At 40.7% G+C, this 20810-nt stretch overlaps 2 long non-coding RNA genes across 4 annotated transcripts; one reads left to right on the top strand and one right to left on the bottom strand.

The window, feature by feature from the left end:
- Positions 1–2944: 2944 nt before the first annotated feature.
- On the bottom strand, positions 2945–14535 carry LOC124902993 (uncharacterized). The gene is made up of 3 exons (XR_007063418.1): positions 14434–14535; positions 13242–13336; positions 2945–6506 (listed from the first exon to the last, which is right to left on the bottom strand). It is a non-coding gene; the product is annotated as an uncharacterized LOC124902993 (long non-coding RNA).
- On the top strand, positions 14529–20271 carry LOC124902992 (uncharacterized). Of its 3 annotated transcripts, none has more exons than XR_007063415.1 (4): positions 14529–16966; positions 17988–18101; positions 18860–18936; positions 20233–20266. It is a non-coding gene; the product is annotated as an uncharacterized LOC124902992 (long non-coding RNA). The 3 variants fall into 3 exon arrangements; XR_007063417.1 differs by having other exon boundaries at positions 14739–14813; XR_007063416.1 differs by lacking the exon at positions 18860–18936 and having other exon boundaries at positions 20233–20271.
- The last annotated feature ends 539 nt before the right edge of the window (positions 20272–20810 follow it).

Raw genomic sequence — 20810 nt, 5'->3', positions numbered from 1 at the left:
CCCAGATACAAGGTTCCACTGTCTGTCTACTTCAACGGTCAGCCCTTTGCAAAACTGAGGAGGAATGTGAAGGTAGAAAGGCCACACCTGCCCCAGAAAGGAGTTCCCATGGGTGGCACCAAGGATAATTATGTGGCTTTCTCACTAGTGTGGGCCCCATGGGGTACACGATAGCACCAGTGGAAGTCCCTTCCTGTCTTTCCCACCCCCAACACCCCCCTCCACGCCCCTCCCGCATCATGGTAAGCTGGTTAGAGGTTACATAATGCATCCACCATAGCAGTTGCTTCAATCCCACCCCAGCCTTCTTGCGTTCATGAAAACAGCTCCCAGCAACTGACAAGCCTCAGGCATTCCAGAAGGAGTAGAGAGTTTTCTTAAAGCAAGACATCCTTACAGATTGAGGAAATGGCGTCCATTATTTAAAATTTTTGAGGCATTTGGCAGAATAAAGTGTTTCCTCTTAAGGATGTAAGTTTTGTCATATTAGATCACCTGCAGAGTAAGCATAGCTTAGCATTCTGTCTTTGACATGGTACCGATCCAAACATTAAACTCCAGAGAGGTACCACAGGACGGTGTAATGCACCCTCTAAAAACCACTGTGCCTCTACGACGCATAAATACATTACACCTTCTTTGAACCTTTATTCTTTTCAACCCAGACCATGTCTTGGGAGTGATTCGTTCCAAACATTTATGACTCACTGTGTAAACTAATGTGGTTTTTTTTTTTCTATTTTTTTCTAAATTTCTCTTCTTTCAGGCTTCAAAGAGTCCTCCCTGCTCCTTCTCATACTTTGGAATTTGGTGAACACAAACATATTGATGCCCTTTGTGGCTTTGTCGTCTTTGATCATCTCCCCATGCAGCCTTCATCTCTGTAGGCTGAAAGTCTTAATCTTCTTAGTTTGACCTCATGTTTTAGCCCACATATTCCCTCTATTCTTCCATCTGCCCTTCACTGGCCTTTCTAAGAATCATATTCCTTTGTTAAAGGGTACTAACCACACACACTCTTTCAAGAGCAGGTGTTCCCAGTCTTGCCTTTAACCCTCTCCAGTGGGCTATTCAATCAAGCATGCTTATATGTTTGCAGTGGGTGGGGGCAAACAGGAAGGGAGAAATATTTCAAAGTCAATGTCAGAGCACAGTTTGGAAATATTTTGTCGCCTAAATGATGCAAGGAGAAATTACTCCCCGGGCTCCTTTAGTATCTGTTCCAACTTGAATGGCATGATTTCTAAAGCATGTGGGAGCTTCAGCAGTAGGCAGTGTAGAAAAACAAAGAGCCTATTTTTATACACAACGTTCAGAGGTTGGGGTGGGGAGGGGGCGAGAAACAAAAACCAGAAAAACAACCCTAAATTTTGTGCACAGGGAAATAATAAAAATAGGATGGCAGCTTCATTTTGATATTTTGGTTCTTAGACGCTGTTGTTTTTATAGGAATGGGAAAAAAATAAACAAATGGAACAGAAGGTGTTATACACAGGAGGAATATAAACACAGACTCATGGTATGTTAGTGCTGGGAAGAGAATGCCAACAAAGTTCCTTCACAAGAGCAGTTTCCAAAAACCAGTCTGTAGACCAGAGATGGGCTGCGTCTGTGAGGTCCATGTAGGGAGCTATTATAAAGGCCCCTGGAGACCCTATTCTTGGAGATACTGATTCCGTAAGTCAAGGGTGAGGTCCAGGGAATCTGAGTTGTTTTCCTTTTCTTTTTAAATTCTTTGGGATCATTTGATGTACAAGTAGGTTTGGGAAACACTAGTCTAGATCAGTGTTTTCCAAACCTTTAATTGTTTGAGTTTGCATTACTTTTTATTTCAGCAGCAGAACTCTCCTCTGAAATGAAATCATACACAGAACCTAAACATACAAAATCCATAAGAGTGGCCGCCCTGATTGAACCGGGGGGTGGCAGGGCCAGGACCTCCATTTTCAACTGAACCCTCTCCCTCCCTGAATGACTCAACAGAATCGCCAGGGAACTATAAAGGTGACATGGACACAGGCTGATGACAAATGCTCCTGTCTCATCTTTTAATTTTACTGATGAGGGGACTGGAGCCCAAAATGGTGTCTGCCAAGTTCACCCAGAATTTAGTGGGTGGGTCAAGGATAGAATCCAGAACAAAATCCCAGACTGTGTGTAGCTGCCATCATCAGCATCAGCACAAGGCCCATGGTCAGCTCCTTCCAACACTAGACTAGGGGCCCCTCACCTCCTGGTGGCTCCAGGCATTCTCCCCTCGCAGAAGGTGAGGCTGATCTATCACCCCATGGTTGCCCTTCAACAAGTCCAAGAGGACTGTATTCCCTTACCTTCCCATGAAGGCTACCTCAGTGATGGCTCCAGGAGGTTTCCTGTAGCCTCCTAGAGGGAGCCCCCACTAAAGCAAGAAGAAAGCAAAGCTCACATATTTCATCTCTGGTGCACCATCCTTCTGTTACCTGCTTCCATTTGATCAACCTACCATCAGTTCTATTTTCTTTTCTTTCTTTCTTTTTTTTCTTTTTATTTTTTATTTTTTTGATACAGAGTCTTGCTCTGTTGCCCAGGCTGGAGTACAGTGGTGTGATCTCAGCTCACTGCAACCTCCACCTCCTGGGTTCAAGCGATTCTCGTGCCTCAGCCTCCTAAGTAGCTGGAATTACATGCATGCATCACCATGCCCAGCTAATTTTTTGTATTTTTAATAGAGACAGGGTTTTGTCATGTTGGCCAGGCTGGTCTCGAACTCCTGGCCTCAAGTGATCCACCTGCCTTGGCCTCATCAGTTCTATTTTTAACAGCATGTGTATATTCAAGGAATATTAAGATAGGAAGCCTAATAAAACAAATTCCCATGAACCTTCCACCCAACTTAAGAAACAGAACATTTCCAAAACAAGTTTCTATGTGTCCCTCTCCAAAGTCATATTCACGCCCCCACCCCTGTACCGCCACAACTACAATCCTGAACCTTCATCTTTTATCCTTCTATTGTACTTATTTATAGAGTTGTCTCACTGGCTATGTACCTAATTATTCTGTTATTTAGTTTCGCTTGATTTTGAACTTTAAAAAGTGGCATCATACTGCAGGTATTCTTTGGCCTTCTATGTTCGCACTCATGTTTCTGACATTCATCCCTGTTGGTGCATATAGCTGTAATCCATTTGCTATTTGCTGCTGTCAGATGGACCATATAATGGGATTATGTAAATATACTATATTCAGTGCTAAAAGAATAGCGGAGTGCTTATTTGAATGTTTACCAGGCGTGGTTCTAGGTGCTAGGATCCAGCAGTGAACAAAAGAGACACAATCTCTCCCCTCCTAGCGCTTAAATTCCACTGAGGAGCATGCACTGCACAATTCTTTATCCTGTCTCCTGTCGAGCATTTGGAGTTTCCCACCCCCATGCCCCCAGTTTTTTGCTATTACAAACAGTACTCCCTGGACATGTTGCAGTCGTTCCTACTCAGGTGGTGGAATGTCTCTGAGACAGTGGCTCTCAACACTGAGGCAATATTAGAACCACTTGGAAAGCTAATCTATCACATCTGCTAATGATAACAAATTAAGAGCTTAGAACCCTCGAGCTGCAATTTGCCACAGCCACAAATGCAAAAATCACCTCAGGAGCCCACATAGTTTCTAGCTTTACTGGAGGCTAATAACTTCTCAAGACCTCAGAAAGCTAATTATTGATCCTTTTACTCCCAAGCAAATGAAAGACAGCCTGGTGTAGTAAAAAGAAGATGGCTTAGAAATAAGAAAACCTCATTTAGCTTCCTGATGTTGCACAAATAAATAAATCAACTGCCCTTCTTGGGTTTCACTTTACAAGTTCATGAAATGAGAATATTTCTAACTCTTAGCTTATTAGGTTTATGGTAATAATTGAACAACATGCTGTCAGTGATGGTTACGTTCTCTGTGTTTACTGCACACCAGGCACCATGCTGAAGTCTCCTTAATTGCCATCTTCCTGAATCTTACATGGTAAGTGTCATCTCCGTGATAGGACCAGTTACTATGCATGCCTAAGTTCCCACAACTAGGGGATCCAGAATTTGAGTCCAGATCCATCTGATTCCAAATTTTCTTTCCCTGATTCTTAGAAGTGTAACCACCAGCAAGTTCTTTCACCTTTCTGAGCCTGGGTTTCCTCCTCTGTAAAATCCACATATTAATAATAACTAGCACATTGCATTGTTGCCCGTGTTAAATGAGGTAATCGATGCACAGCCTGGAATTTACTAAGCGCAAAAAGCCTTCTTACCTCTTACTACTACTGCCACTGCTGCGCTCATTTTGTTTTGTTTTATGCCCTATCTCATGAAGGACATCACCATCTGACCAGTTGTCTAAGCTAAAAGCATGTAAATAGTTCTAGATAACAACATTTAAACTCCACATCCACTCAACAAGGCCCATCTGTTCTCCACCTCTTCCCATATCTCTACCACTCCCACTACATTGGATAAAGGCCGCTGTCATTTCTCACCTGTGCTATGTCCACAGCCCCTCTACTGATCTCCCTAACTGCATGCCCCCGTCCTCCCATACGCAACCTCCACACTCCAATCAGATGGATTTTTCAAGTCAAAATCTGATCACCAAACTCTCCTTCCCAAAACTCCTGCCTGATAGCTGCACGCGTCCTTCAAGATGAAGCACACAAGGTGAGGCCCCGCCCAATCTGGCCTGTCTTCCCTCTCCAGGCTCTCCAGTCCTACCTCTCACTACTTCGGCAGACTTAAAAATGCCAAAAAAAAAAATTAATTTTAAATTTTAAACGATTTACCTTGCATAGAAGAGGCATTCCATTGACATAATAATTATTCTCATTATTAGTTTCACTGCATATATTACTCCTTTAACTCTCACAGCCCAGGCTAGAACTTTTCAGGACCTCAAAAGACAAATGTCTTTCATATTTGCCTTACTTTAATCAAGGGCCTAAAGAGTTAATGGGATTTACAGTAGAATCCCAGCCCTGACCCTACACAGGCCAAGTGTGGCAGAGAAGGGAATCCTCAACTCCTAATGTATTTATAACTTTCTCAAAGCCCTAGGGCCAGAACCAAACGCTTAGTGTTGCCAAAGATGTGGCAGTTTCCGAGGGAAGAAGAGTAGACGAAGAATACCTGGGTCTTAGCCTTGGCAGGATGTCAGCCAGTGCATGCCACGTGTCCAGAACATGTGGCCTGGGACCTTCAACTTGGTTAGGAAAAACTGCCCATCGGTTGAGAAGTCACAGCAGTTTGTTGACCATATCTACTGGAAAAATCCCACTAGACAAATTGTGTCCTCTCTCAAACAAACAATGCTGACTTCTAATTAAGTTGAGAAATGTCCCTCTTTCCCACCCAATATATTTGAAACATCCTAAAACCCATTTCCTTTCTAGTTCCATGTGTCTCAATGGGCTCTGTCTGGCAACACGGCCTCCACTCCTCCCCTATCTCCCCAGGGCAGATAGCTCTGTCCTGAGTCCCAGGGCTGCCCTGAAATTGTAAAGGATGCCTTTTGGGGAGCTTCCTCCTTAATGCCACATTTGCTTCAGCCACAGAATCGCTCTCAGCAGATTCTTGAACTGAACCTGCTGAGGTTTGAGCCCCTGGCAGCCTGGTGATGCCCAATGCCTTTGCCACAGGCTCTCCAAGACAGTCTTTTCTAAGCTTTGAATGTTCCAGACCATGTAGCAGTTCCACATGCAACATCTTCTGTAGTAGGAAGGTGTGCTTCTAGAGTTTTATTTCCCTGCACTGACTTTTAATTCCATTCAAGAAGGCTAAGTGGAGTTTGTAACAGCCTTAATCTCTTCAATTGGCCCCTTTTGTCCCTAATAAAGCTAGCATTATTTGCTGAAACTGAATGTCTCTTTCCTTGTACTGTCCCTTTGTTTTCTGGCCAAGGCATCTGTTTTCCTAACGAGCTCTTCTAACAAGTCTTGTGGGGTCTCCCCATAGTGAGGGAGAGCTGTCAAGTGCACGAGTTCTGAGTCTGCCAGTGGGTTTGTTTATTCAACAAAAACTGCTTATTTTTTGTATCTTTGCTTTCCTTAGTGGAATAATACCAACCAATATGTTCCTATCAGACCAACATCTAAGCAAGATTCGGTCATCTATTTACATCCAAGCTGGTTTCTCCATTAATATATGTCCTCTTTTATGTGCCATCTTTACAGTGAATCCTATACATCTCTTGGGCATATGACCCCACCATCACCATGCTATGGTTTGAATGTTTGTACCCCTCCAAAAGGTATTTGTTGGAACTTAAACTCCCATGTGACAGAATTAAAAGGTGAGGCCTTTAGGAGGTGATTAAGGTGGTGGTGAAGTCATGAGGGAAGACCCATACCAGGAAGGGGAAGTGGCTGAGCTCAGTGTGCCCAGGTCTTCTCCAGAACTCACCCACAGAAGGAGAGGAGACTCCTCTGGTGATGATGGATGCAGTGATGATGGAGCAGCAGACGCCAGGTAGAATGTCTGATAGATATCCCTCTACATGGAGGAAACATCAGAAATGGTGTTTTCACCTACACCACATGAAAGTAAAGGGGTGAATAGAGTCCACACCCCTGACCACTGAATATTGCTGTACTCCCTGTGTTTATTCATTTATTTCTTTTTTTAAAGTATTTTATTATTTTTTATTTATGTATTTATTTTGAGACAGAGTTTTACTCTGTCATCCAGGCTGGAGTATGCAGTGGTACGATCATGGCTCACTGCTGGATTACAGGCATGAGCCTCTGTACCCGGCCTCATTTATTTCCTTACACATGTAATTATTGTTTTAGTATTGTCATTCTACATGAAACCATTAATGACCTCAGGGCAAAGACCTAGTCCATTTGAGTCACCACCATAATTCTAGAGCCTAGCACAGTGCCTGGCACGTTAAGGCAACTTCATTAATATTTGTTAAATGAACAGTTCAGATCAGATACATTTCACTCCATCAAAAAAAAAATTGCTTATGCATGAATGTACAAATGACTGAGTCTGCAATACAGAGTTTGATTGTTATTTTGTTATTTGGAGGCTTCAATTAGCCCAATACTTGTTGTAGGGCCCCCTTCACTTTGTATCTGGAGATGGCAGCACAGGCTGTGAAATGGCAGGTGTTACAGTTAATAAAAGACACCACTGAGTCCAATGAGGCATCTGAGTGTTTTCCCACTGAATGCTGTATTGTTTCTGAATATTCCTAACTATCTAAGATTCACTCATGCAAGGAAAAACCATATTTACAATGATTCCAAATATATCTCTCACAGAGCGCCAACCATTTCTCCAAAATAAAATTCAAGCTCCATTCCTGTTTTTCCAGGGAGCCTTGACTTACTGAAAGCTGATCTCTTCCCCTGCCAGTCTACTGCAGTGTGCTAACAAAGTCCTCAGTTCCTGAAACCCCCGAATTTAACCAGGAGGCATCCCAGCAACATCTTCCCTCATTCCTCTCCCTGTTATCTTTCTGTCAGTCTGACCTTTCTTCTCAGTGATCCCAACGAAAGCCTTTGGGGCTTCCAAGCTTCGGGCCTCAGCCCTTTCTCTTCCCACTTTACCATTCTGCCGTATACAACTCTACCTCCTCAATCTTTAGGACTCCCAAACCTCTGCCTTAGCCAGAATTTGACACCTCCTATTAGACACAGGCACCTCAAGCTTAACAGGAGCCAAACAGAACTCACTGTCATCCTCAAACCTGTTCTTCCTCCTGGAGTCCTCATATCCAAAGCCCGACTTCTTTGTCTGCAATATCAGATCCATGTTTTCTTTTTTCTTTTTTCTTTTCTTTTTTTTTTTTTTTTTTTTTTGAGGCTGAGTCTCACTCTACAGCTCAGGCTGGAGTGCAGTGGCACAATCTTGGCTGACTGCAACCTCTGCCTCCCAGAGTAGCTGGGATTACAGGTGCCCGTCACCGCACCCAGCTAATTTATGTATTTTTAGTAGAGACAGGGTTTCATCATGTTGGCCAGGCTGGTCTCAAACTCCTGACCTTTGGTGATCTGCCTGCCTTGGCCTCCCAAAGTGCTGGGATTACAGGCACGAGCGACCGTGCCCAGCCCCACGTTTTCTAAATATGTCTCCACTCTATGGAGCCTTCTTTATCCCTGCCATCAATATCTTTATCTGGGTCACTGTTCTTTCCCCGCAGAACTGCCACAACAGCCTTTAACTGATCACTTTTTCTCTCTAGCCTTGACAATTTTATGTCTATGCTCCTGCTGCCAACAATGTTATTAAAGATCTAAATCGAATTCTGTTGTTCCTGCTTAAAATTCCTTCTCTGGCTCCCCAGCATCTGCAGAATAAAGGCCAAGGTCACTAGAAGGGCACTTAAGGTCCATCTAGATTTGATCCCTGCTCACCTTTCACCGTTACTTGCCACCTATCCTCACCTCAGAACTATCTTTCCGCAATTTATAGCAGCTTAGAGTTCCCTAAGCTCATGTAACCAGTAAGAATTTTCTTCATGAGACACTTGAGAAACATCATATTTATTTTTCTAGATCAAATTAAAACTGCCTCAGCCTTTTTTTTTTTTTTTAGCCAGAGTTGCTCAGAAATTCAATCCCAGTCACCTCTCAGTGCCATAAGAATCCCAATTCTGTAAGGGCTCACACAGGAAAGAGGCCTTCTCCCCAGTCCACGTGGTCAGCTTTATTGTGACTGTTCTCCTTACATAAAGCCTATGTCAAAGCTCTCTGCAGGGCATGCGCAAATGCTTTTTCCAGAGCGTAGTAGTAACAATGGCATATACTTATATAGCGCTTACTACATGCTAGCCCCTGTTCTAAGCAATTTGCATATATTAGCTTACATATTCCTCATAGCAATTCTATGAGATAGATACTTGAAGGGTAGCAGAATATTCTGCCTCAAAATATGCCACTTTGGCATGAGGATTATTTTGAGCCAAAGACAATAGAGAACAAGCAGATGTAAGAAAATTTCTCTGTCTCCCTTCTAGGGCCTAAAAGCAGGACATAAATTGTGTCCAAGGAGGACAAAAAGTTAATCACCAGACAGACATGACTTGAGACCCTTATCATCCTGGAGCTGGCACCAGAAGAATCTATGTCACGAACTTCACTATTAGCCTTGACTCGCCACTAGTGTCCCATGTATTTGCCCTCCCTCAATTGGCTACCTTAGAGACTCAAGCTTCCTTTTCTTTGTCTTGTCACTTCTCTAAAAAGGTTTTGTTCTGTGCAGAAGATGCTGTGTTAGCCAAAGTTCTAAATCACCTCTTTGAAGTACTCATTTTTGGGCATTCTCATATGTCACATGCACAATGCAACATGTTAATAAACATGTTTGTTTTTCTCTTACTAATCTATCTTTTGTTACAGAGACCCCAGTCGAGAACTTAGAAGGATAAGGGGAAAATTGTTTTTCCTTCTCTGCTACTATTCCCACCAGCCCCTTTTTGAATGTGGGAAAGCCAAGGCACAGAGATTAAGTAACCACCAGGGTGCTGGTAAGTCTGGGATTTGACCCATCAGCCTGACTCCAGAGTCCCTGCTCTAATCACTGCACTCTACAACCCCTTGTGAGTGATGTCACTCTGCATTGGTTGTAGGGTTGTCCACAGAGGAACTTGGCCATTGCTCCAAGACCGCTGGACTTGTCCACCACCTCCACACAAGCATCCGTGTACCATTCCCATTGTATGATGCCTTCCTATCCTGTACTTAAAGAAGTCTCCATCAAACTCTTAGAAGTTTGAATCCCTATCAAACTCTAAGAAGCTACCACACCCCTCTCAGGTCACTTTCCTTTTCAATTCAAAGTATCGAGATCGCTCTCCCTCTCCCTCATCCTGCAATTCCAGATTAATCCTTTGATGGCCCCCAAGCTCTTCCCATGGCTCCAGGGCATTTGACTGGCTGTCTTGCTCTTCTTCTTTCTTGGCATTCCATCCCTCTAACCTCCTGTTGTTTCTTCACATACAAAGCAAGTTTATATTTTAGGATCTTTACACTTAGCTGTTCGTGCCACATAGAACTCATTCTCCAAGACAAACCTTAAACCACAAGCCCTGCCAGACTGTTCTTGGGGCACAGGGCAAGAATTTGAGGATCCTCGTTTCAATACTTTGAACCTACTGCAGCACTAAGAATGAAACAGAAATGAACAACTCAATCGCTTATACTGCCCTACAAATCTTGCTTTTCCTGCTACTGGGAGGGAAACTCCAGAAAGCTTATTTCTTTTTCAAAATACAGCTTCTCACAGAAGCCCTTCCTGCCTTCTTTTTTGGTTCTGCATCTGCACCTTGAATGTATTTCTATTGTTGTGCTTGCCAAAACACATTGTAATGTTCCTAATATTTTTTATAGTTGTCTCTTACATAAGATTGAGTTCCTCAGGGGTAGAAATTGGCTCTTATATAATTCTGTATCCCCGGCCCTTAGCGAGATGCCTAGAAAATACAGGTTGAGTATCCCTTATCCAAAATGCTTAGCACCAGAAGTGTTTCGGACTTCACTTTTTTTAGGATTTTGGAATATTTGCATTATATACTTACTGGTTCAGCATGCCATATCTGAAAATCCAAAATGCTCCAAAATCAAAACTTTTTGAACCCTGACATGATGCTCAAAGGAAATGCTCACTGAAGCATTTCTTATTTAAAATTTTCAGATTAGGGATACTCAGCCTGTAATAAATACTTAAAATTATTTGATAATTGAAATAAACTAGACCAAGGTCAATGTTGTAATCATCATTATCTTATCACCTCTCCACCTTCACTGCTACCCCCCAGGCCACAAGCTTCTGTCATTCTGCTCCTGGATTAGTGTTATGACCTCCCCATCTGCCACAGTGCTTCTACCCTTTTCCTTTTTCCCTTTTCAGTTTATTTTCAGCCCAACGGCCAGGATAATCCTCTTAAAATCTAAAACAGATAAAGTAGCTCAAAACTTTCCTGTGGTTCCCACCTCAAAGAGAAAGCCCTACCTGGCCTACACCATTCTCTCTGATCTGCACCCCCTCCTTCATATTATCTGATCTCACCTTCTACTACTCTGCTCATCACTCCGGCCACACCAGCTCCCGGTCATTCCTCAAACACACCAAGCATTGCCTCCCAATCCCAGGGCCTTCATTATACTTCCTATTCCCTCAGCCTAGAATGTTCTCCCCCATATATCATCATGGTTCATTCCCTTACCTCTTTTTTTGTGCAAATACCATCTTCTTACTGAGACCTTCCCTGATCACCCCATTTTAAATGCCTTGCTTTTTCTTCATAGCATTTTCCACATTGTATGTAATATGATATGATACAACATATTTATGATGCACGGCATAATTTTCTCATTCATCTTTATTGTCTGTCTTCTTCACATGGAATGTAAGCTCCATGAGGACCTGGCATCTAGGAGGTTCTCAATAAATCTGTGTTGAGTGACTGATTCTTAGACTAAAGGATGCCAATGTCTAGTCTCATCTCTGTCACTAATGGAGCAAGTCATACAATCTAACTGTCCTTAGCTGCTTCAGCTCTGAAATAAGGTTGGGCTAGAAGATTCCTTAATAGGAGATTTATGATGGTATCACAAAAGAAAATCTAGATTTTTTCCTACCCACTTTTTGTCTTTTGTGCTCTTTAACAAAAAAGTGGCAGTCAGCATCACAATGTCAAAACATCTATTGATCCTTACACTTAAGAATTAGCCTCTGGGAAAAATCCAATCCCTTGCTCCAATAGTGGCCTAGTTCTTGATAAAGAGCCACATGCATACAACCCCACATAACAACACATTGTGCACCCTCACACACACCAAAGTGAGAAAGCATCACAAACACTCTTCACCACAACTCCTATCTCCAGACTTTGGCATCTTTCCCAAGTTTCTGCAAACATCTATTCAGCCCTATTCTCCAGGCAACCTCAACCTCAAATGTATTCAGGGAATTGCACTACATCCAGAAGTCTCTTGATGGGATCCTCCTCCCCTTTCCTGGGCTTCCTAGGAAGGGCTCCTCTACTATATTTCCATTTTTGACTCAGCTCAGGTGCCTCTGAGAGGTTGCTTTTGCCCTGTTTCCCACACTTTCTAGGCTCCTGCCCCAAGCCCTTTGCTGATTCACCTCCTAGGCTCCACACTGGCCATGGCAAAGCTTCTCTAATTATGCAAACTTCCTGCTGGGACACCAGTCTGTGTCCTTTATATATGCAGGGACTCAGCTAGACCCTGGGTGAGAGATTATAATGAATAAGACATTACCCTTGCCCTCCAGGTGCTTACAGGCTAATAATACCTATGGAACTAATTAACTTCGAAGGCAATAAGAGGTACTATCTTCAGTTGTCCCATTTTTGCTAACATTCAGGTTACAGAAAGCCACCCAAATTGCTTTCAAGTCTTTGTAAATGAAAACCAAGAAGAAACCACTGCAAAATCAATGCATTTTAATTGGAAGTGTTTATGAAACCCAGGAGAGTTTCCTAAATGTATTAATTGCTTCCCAAGGAAATATAAAATTCACAATTACTAAAACCATGAAAATTAATACAATGACAGCTCTAAAAGATTGCTTTGTAAACTATTGCTAAATACATGAAAATAAACCAATTGACCTTTTAAGAAGTTAAAAAAAATCTCTGATGATCAGTATACATGAATTGTTTGCCTTGAGACTAACCAACTTACTTAGGGCAGCACTGCACTTCATTGAAAAGAGATTGCATCAGCTGTGTCGCTAGTTTTAAAAAAGTTATTTCAGCAAAGAAGGTAGCCAAAAAGTTAGATGTGAATTATCCTCCCCTTCCTTGCACCCCTACCGTATATTAGTACAGGTAAAAAATTCTCTATTAATTCTGAATTTAGACTTTAAAAAGCAGTTTGAAGTAAAAAATAGCAATTACCTTTCTGTATCCTAAGATTCTTTTTTCATTTAAAGTTTCCACTGAATTGCATCAGATGATAGGATGAAGGGCCAGCTCTCCATAAAATACCAGATTTGCAAAGCTTTAACAACCTGAAATTTTCCCCTGGAAAAGAACCTTCTCATTTGCATTTGGATGGCCAATCTTTCAATAAACATTTCTGAGCAGCTTCCATGTGGCTATTGCTGTGTGAGGCATAGCAACATAGACAGAAAGACCCAATCCTTGGCCTCAGAAGTGCACAGTCTTAGGAGAACAGGGGTATTAGCTTTATTAATGAGAGCCCAAGAGAATCAACACATAAGTCCACCAAGGACCAAGCAGTTTACCTGAGAATTGAAGGATGAATAAGAGTTTGCCAGGCAGTCAAAATTGGCAAAGGCATTCCAACAGAAAGACTAGTGTGGATGAAAGATACAACGACCTGAAAAAATGGGTCAGGGTCAAAGAGCAATTAGCTGGGAGTAGACCCTACAATATGGGGGATTCCATGGAACATGGGGCTCGATAAGTGAGCAGAGGACACATTAAAATAATGATTCATCATTGAGCACTTTTAATGTACCAGGTACAATGAGAGGTATTTCACTCAGATTATTTGATCTCCCAAAAAACCTTTTAAAATAAGTACTATTATTATCACCCCAATTTCACAGATGAGGAAAGTGAGGCACAAAGAAGTCAAGTTACTAGTTCAAAGTCTCATAGCTACTCAATGGCTTTGAAGCAACATCTTCATCTCTGGAATCCACACGTTTAACCACCTTTCAAATTATGAAGGATCTTGCAGACCAAACACAGGAGCTGAAAAATATCTTTTAGGCAATGGGAAGCTACTGATGAATACTGAGCATGGATACTGAATAACACCATCTGATATATACAATAAAATGATGACTGTGGTGCTCTAAAAGATAAAGATTTCAGTTTTACTTGTTTGTGTGTTGCGGCAGGGGCAGCAGGAGGAAGGCAGAGCACAAAGGCCAGAATCCCCATAATGAGGAGAATGCAATTCTTAGTAAAAGAGAAAGCACAGGCCTGACTTGGGCAGTAGCATTGTGGGTAGAGCAAAAGGGGTAGATGTACAGATTTTTAGGAAGTGGAAAAAAAGGAAGACGTGGATATTGGATATAGAACAGGTATAAGACAGGTGAGTGCGAAGCATCAACTATTAAGAAGGGAACATCTCTTTCCCACTCCAGATGTTTCCCTAAATGTGAAAGGACATCAATTAATATAAACTTTCTGGCTTATTTCTGTCCTCCTACTTCCACACCCTTCCAGGTATAGCATTTTATATGATGGTGAATTTGGCAGGAAAAAAAAAAAAGACATTCCTCTTTCTTCTCTCTTGGTGGCAAGTTGACCTCAGAAAGCACATTTTCTACTCTGCATTTCAACACAGCAAGGAGCCTTACAATTTTAGAAAATAAACTCAGTGCCATCCCCCTCAGTCCCCACAACTGATGTATGAACCAGGAATATTGAGAAATGAGACAAAATGCTGACAATTGAGGATACATAAGTCCCAAGCCTTTGGTGCTCCCCATGATTTGAGGCCGTCTGGTGAGTAGAGAAGCTTAGATGTTCCATGTGGCAGGTTTTGACAGTTAGGCAGTTGGTTTTTAACTGCCTAGCAGGACAAGAGGCCATATGCAGTTTTCCCCTTGGCTGATCTTTTCTTCTTGTGGCTTATTCCACAAACAAGATGCAGAATGGCATATACAGAACCCTGCAACGGCCCAGCCTCATCACAAGAGAGGAACAGACCATAGAGGGGTGGGGCAGAAAGAGGAATGATTTTTTTTTAACTGCGCCTTTTAAACTGCGAAGCAGCTAAGCTCCATATATACAGAAGAGCCCCATGGAAGTCTGGGTGTATATAGGGTTATGTTTTCCAGGTATGCTAAGTTTCTAGTGCCCAGATTAGCCAACTGCTAGCTAGAATATTTTTCCCACTGTAATTGCATTTAAAAGGGGAAAATACAAAAGGGGAAAATAAATTTGAAGAGTTTCAAATGTATGGGATAACAAAGAGAAAAAATACAGCTCTATTAAGACCCAATGATAGGAGCTGTCTCCATTGCACATTTTTATTCTTTCTCCGAGGTCACCAATGTCTCAAATACCATGTCAAAGGAAGGAGACGGGTATATAGGAAATGTTTTCTCTCAAGTATGCTAAGTTCCCAGTGCCCAAATTAGATGACTTCTTGCTGGAATATTGCTCTCATTGCAATTGCATTTAAGGTCACAGGTCATATGTTTTGGACAACTGATATCAACTGACTGGCTTCCTGGTGCAACTGAACTCTTCCTCTTTTGGGACTCCACGCAGTTACCATTGTATCTCTAGCTTGTGACAACTCTTAAGTAAAATACTGTGTTCTGGGAACACAATTTTACCAGGGATAGGAAGTAACAGTTCAAAGGCCAGGGGATGGCTTATTTTCTAACCAATGATCTTTAATGCCCTATTCACTCAAGATTCTTTACAAGAGGTATTCATGGAGACTTGGAATTGTATCAAGACAACTGCTGAGGGACAGAAGAACTCCCCAGTTCTACTTAGATTCTACCTGGACTACAGTCTCTGGAAAATTCCCAATCTATTCAGAATCCAGAACATCTCTCACTAAAACTAATCAAAATAACAAACTGAGGAGGATGAAATATTGATTTTAATTTCCTTGGACTTTCAAATCACTGTAGCAAGAAAATACGATTTTGGACTTGAATTCATCTGGATTTATTAAGGCTTTAGATTTTCATTTCTCCCTAGACATCTCATAGGGAATTGATACTCACTTTGGATGCATCTTTATAATTTGGTATTTTGGTTTTGAAGTATGGTAATGCTGTCCTTTAATCCCACAGCAGGACATGGGCTATGTGCCATCATCATCTGTGATAGAAAATAGACCAAGGGCGAATAGATGGCCTTGAAAACCAAGTGGCCTAGGAGTTAATTCTAAGGAACTTGTCTGATCTATGTTAGAGCCTTCTCAGAGCAAAATCTTCATTGCCCACCTGTGGCTCCAGGATGATTTCCCAAGAAGCAAGGGAAGCAGGGAGGTGAGAGCAGGCTGATCCAACAGGCTGCTGCTTTGCTTCTGAGCACTGGGAGAGCCCCGCTCTAGCTTAATGAACAAAATCGTTCATTAAAACTAATAGAATAAAAATATGGTAACTAATGGAAAAGGAATGACTCTTCCTCACTGTTGATGTTCCCCCTTAAGTGAGGGACCATCGATTAGAATAACATACCTGGCTTTGTTCTACCTCTTGACTTTTTTAGCGTGAATCTCACCCTAGACCTAGCATCAGAATCTTCTGGAGCTGGGGTCCAGGCACCAGTATGTTTTAAAAGCTCCCCGGGTGATTTTAATGTGTAGGGAGAGCTAAGAACCAATGAACTAAATGATCTCTAAAGATACTTTCTAACTCTTTTTTTAAAAAATGCTGTGATACCACCAGGAGTTAGAGAAAATGACTTCAAGGCCCTTGGGGCACCCTTTTCTAGCAGCCCCGAGGCTCCAGTGCATAGTGTGCAATCAGCCTTCTAATAGGAGAAAAACAATACAAGGCTTCATGTGTTGGTCCCAAAGCTTGCCTATTCTGGCTGCCCCACCATGTCACTGCCATACAATCAATGGAAAAATTGTTCTTTACCATAACTTGAGAGGGAGATAATCAGGAACAATCTGGCTACACCATAGGCTAATCACAATGACTGATATTTCTAGGGCTGCATTAATCAAGCCTTCAAGTAGACAGACTCTTACGGTCAGACCAATTCTAGAATGATTCTGCCTCCACTGTGGGAATCTTTTATAAACGGAAATTCTCCATTCAGCCTTCCCTCTCTCTCTTAAGTGCAAAATCCCTCCTAATGGTAGCATCTGTTGTCTGCGGCAAACAGAGTTGATTACAGATGCTCTGAAAGGAATTTAAGTATTTTCTCTTGCTACTCAGGAGGTGATGGTGTGATGGGAAACAGTAATTCTTTTTAGAAAATAAAAAACCTTTGGCTAAACAGTGACTACAATAATAAGGTAAAAGATACATATTTGTATAAAATATTAATATTTGTTAGATTTTTATCTCTTTCTTCAGTACTAAATATGGCCAATAACCATACATGCACTGTCTCTTATAGCTACAGAGCAGGTGTGCAGGTAGCTGGTTACCAAGCAACGTATTGGCTGGGGATTAGAGCACACACTTGCATGGGCATAACTCTGAATAATGCAAACCTTGTTAAGTGATACATTTTTCATTATCCTAGTATCACATCAAGTTCTATACCAGCTTTTTTTCTTCTTCTTTAATCTAGGAAACATATTTCTATTAAGAACCTTGAAGAAACCTTACCATCAGATATTTCTTTTTTATTAAAAACAATGAAAAGAACAGATTCATTATATCTTATCCATCAAACTTGTTATCTACCTAAACATCTGTTCAGTTTTTGTTGTCGTGTTTAGAAAGAATAATTATCCAGCAGACCTTATAAGAAATGAATTCCGATGGAGCGAATGAACTTTACTAATGACTTGCATTTATAGCTCCTTGAGGAAAAAGTTACCTATTCTCATAATCCTGTTTGTTCTTTCAAATTAAAATGTCTTTGGTGGTTATTCTAAAACTTAGAGGGTTTTTTAAAACTAGCTCTCAAAAGCCTTCTGATCCTTAATAAATATGATCAAAATATATTTAAAATGCTTATAACTCCTCAGTCTCTGAGTATAGAAAATGCCTCTGCTCTTTCCCTTTAGAGTCCTAATTTAAATATCTTGCATGAGGAACTCTAAGTAACAACTAGAAAATTCTTAGTTTATAGGAAATTTCTCTGATACTTGTGGTGACATTATTTTTCTTTTTTAAATTATAATTAAATGTTGTGGAGCAAATTAGCAGATTATGGAGGGAGGGAGAGAAGAAGGAAAGGAGGGAAATAAAGAAAGAAAGTAAAAAAGAAGAAGAGTATTTAACAGGGGACTTGATTCCTCCTTTCTTTGGAAACATTAAACAGGTGGGAGATCTGTTTCTGTGACCCTTCTGTATATTTCATAGAATGGCTTGGTTTCCTGAAGCCTACTTTGCAATTGTTGAAGTGATTTGCCCACTCTAGAGAAGGTATATGAAGTGGAAATGGAATATGAAGAGATATTCGTACAAGGGAACAAGGTGTGTATTCCTAGCCTTAATTTTAAGGTTATATGTCTGTGATATTAATTTTATCACAAAAATGGACAAGTTCATTTTTCTAAACCTGGAAAGACGCCAGTGGGGTTCTGTCTTAATTATGAGGACAGAGAAAAAAAAAACATTTCACCCAGTGTTTGGTGCTAAGGTCTTAGTTATGAATATAGAGAAAAGACACATTTTACACAGGCTTTGGAGTTCATGCAAGGCTGCACGCAATTGCTTGCCTCAGAGAATGGAGCAGTGGGAACTTGCTTCTGACCTGGTGGCTCACTGAAGCTCAAACTGGCAATTTTATGAAATTTCCAGCAGCTTTGTAACTGTGTCTATTATTTATGATTCGGCATCTTCAAATTTTTCTACGGTATACTTAACTTGAGCTGAACACTAAAAAATGGCAAAGTTCGCAGCTTCAAATTTTGTAGGGAACAAGCTATGAAAGCTATTCCTACTCTCTGTATCTGCTCTTTATTTTAGAAAAGAAATACAATATTCTCCATTCTAGGGGTAGGATGGAGAGTCAACACATAATTCCTTGATGTAAAACGGACATTTCTTTTATTTAAATTTAAAATTCGTATATTTGATACTATCCTTATATGTAAAATAAGTATCTGGAATTCATACCTCTACAAAAAAGCAAGGTAAAATAGCTTTTATTCTTCAAGACGCTGCCATAAGATACAAACAGTTACGTTTGCTCCATCACCGTTTTTGTTTGGTAATTTTTTTCCTCCCAGATCTTTCCTGATAGAATTGTCGTGCAAAAAGGTCTTTTGAATACTAAGTCATCAGAATTGTTTTAAGAAAAATACAGGTAACTATAGGCTACCAGACATGCAGCTTTAATTTTGTTCTAAGGTCTTTCTGTTAAATGAAAAAAATATATTATTATCAACCTATCTTTACTATTTTAGGCATTTCAAACACCACATCTATATACAGAATCTTCTTATAATCTTAGGCAGTTTATATCGAAAAGATAATTTCCCCAACAATATTATTTCAACCAAAATCACATTTGAAAGATACTCATTGCAAGGAATTGTATCTTCCTATCACAGATATTTGTGCTGACCCAATACACAGATAGATTTATACACATACATCACTGACACCCCAATTCATACACTCATAGAATCTTGTAATAATCATATAATAAAGACATCACACAAGCTAGGTAAAATTTTTAAAACTAAAATTTTCTAAAATCATTGTCTGTCTAGTATGTCTTGATTGGTAATATTCTTTACTCCAAAAAGAACTTTTTCTAAATTTGTTTGCCTAAATTTGTCTCCATTTCTCAGAATCCAGTAATAAATGAAAAGGAAAAAAGATGGTTTATATGCCTCTTTTCTTTTGAAATCTTTCCTACTGAAAACAATTGTGTTACACTTCAGAATTGAGCCTTTAGATATATAAATTAGCCAATATTGCCTAGCCTGTTGTTATTTAAAAGGGCTATACATGCTGTTTTCTTTACAATAAAAAATCCAAATTTTAGATTTGCAATATGCAAAAATAAGTAGTAAATTCACATTTTATATCAATTTCAAAACAAACAAAAAAAACACGTTTATGAGACTCAAAATGAATTAACAGCACCTGCTGTTAGTCTATCTCCTCTTATGAATCACCTTTTCTCCTCTTCCTGTGCCTCCGGAGCTGCTCGAGAGCCACAGCCAAACTAGCGTCTTTGTTTAGCAAAGAATATGCTCAGTTTCACCTTGAAATCTGAATTTATTAAAAGATATAGAACTTTCTACTTTAAACATTGTTATCCAACTCTTTTTCCCTGAAAAGTTGAAATGTAATCTAAACACTAGTCTCAGAGTGGACACCTACATAATTACATTTGCAGCTTATTGCATTTTCTTAGGCTGTTGAACCTTTTCAGAACTCGTGTAGGCCAAATATTTTATTACTGAGAGAAAATTTATTAGAATGTCTACTATGCCTGTATTTAAAATGTCAGCCTCATGATTCATTTTCTTTTGTCAATTCTCCTATGTGCTTTAACAATTCTCCTATGTAATTAACAGTCTTTCTTATTTCTTATTTATTTATTTATTTATTTATTTACTTATTTATTTATTTATTTATTTATTTTTAGATGGAGTCTCACTCTGTTGCCCAGGCTGGGGTGCAGTGGTTTGATCTTGGCTCACTGCAACTTCTGCCTCCTGGATTCAAGCAATTTTCCTGCCTCAGCCTCCCGAGTAGCTGGGATTACAGGAACCCACCACCACGCCTGGCTAATTTTTTTTTTTTTTATTTTCAGTAGGGACAGGGTTTCACCATGTTGCCCAGGCTGGCTTCAAACTCCTAACCTCAAGTGATCTGCCTGCCTCAGCCTCCCAAAGTCCAAGGATTACAGGCATGATCCACAGTGCCCACCCATTAACAAAGTCTTTCTTAACAAAATCTGCTGGCGGGGAGGGTGAGGGTGCCTAAAATGAAGAGGTTTGAGGGGTAGGAGGGATGCAGATCTGTGATTAGGCCAGGTTAGGACTAAAGGAGGGGTCCCTGGGCCAGCCCTCAGGACTGGAGAACCCCTGAGATAGACAGGACAATGCCCCATCACCCTTATGCCAAACACACCTGGAGGATCTGAGTGTTGTCCTTCTCCTTGACTATTGAGGAAGGAGAACTAGTCCCCTGAGAAACAGATAAAAGAGGTCAGTATCCTGG

Source organism: Homo sapiens, chromosome 12 (genome assembly GCF_000001405.40).
Source record: "Homo sapiens chromosome 12, GRCh38.p14 Primary Assembly".
NCBI lineage: Eukaryota > Metazoa > Chordata > Mammalia > Primates > Hominidae > Homo > Homo sapiens.
The sequence above is the reverse complement of the archived record's forward strand: the minus strand, read 5'-3'. Positions and strand labels throughout refer to the sequence as shown.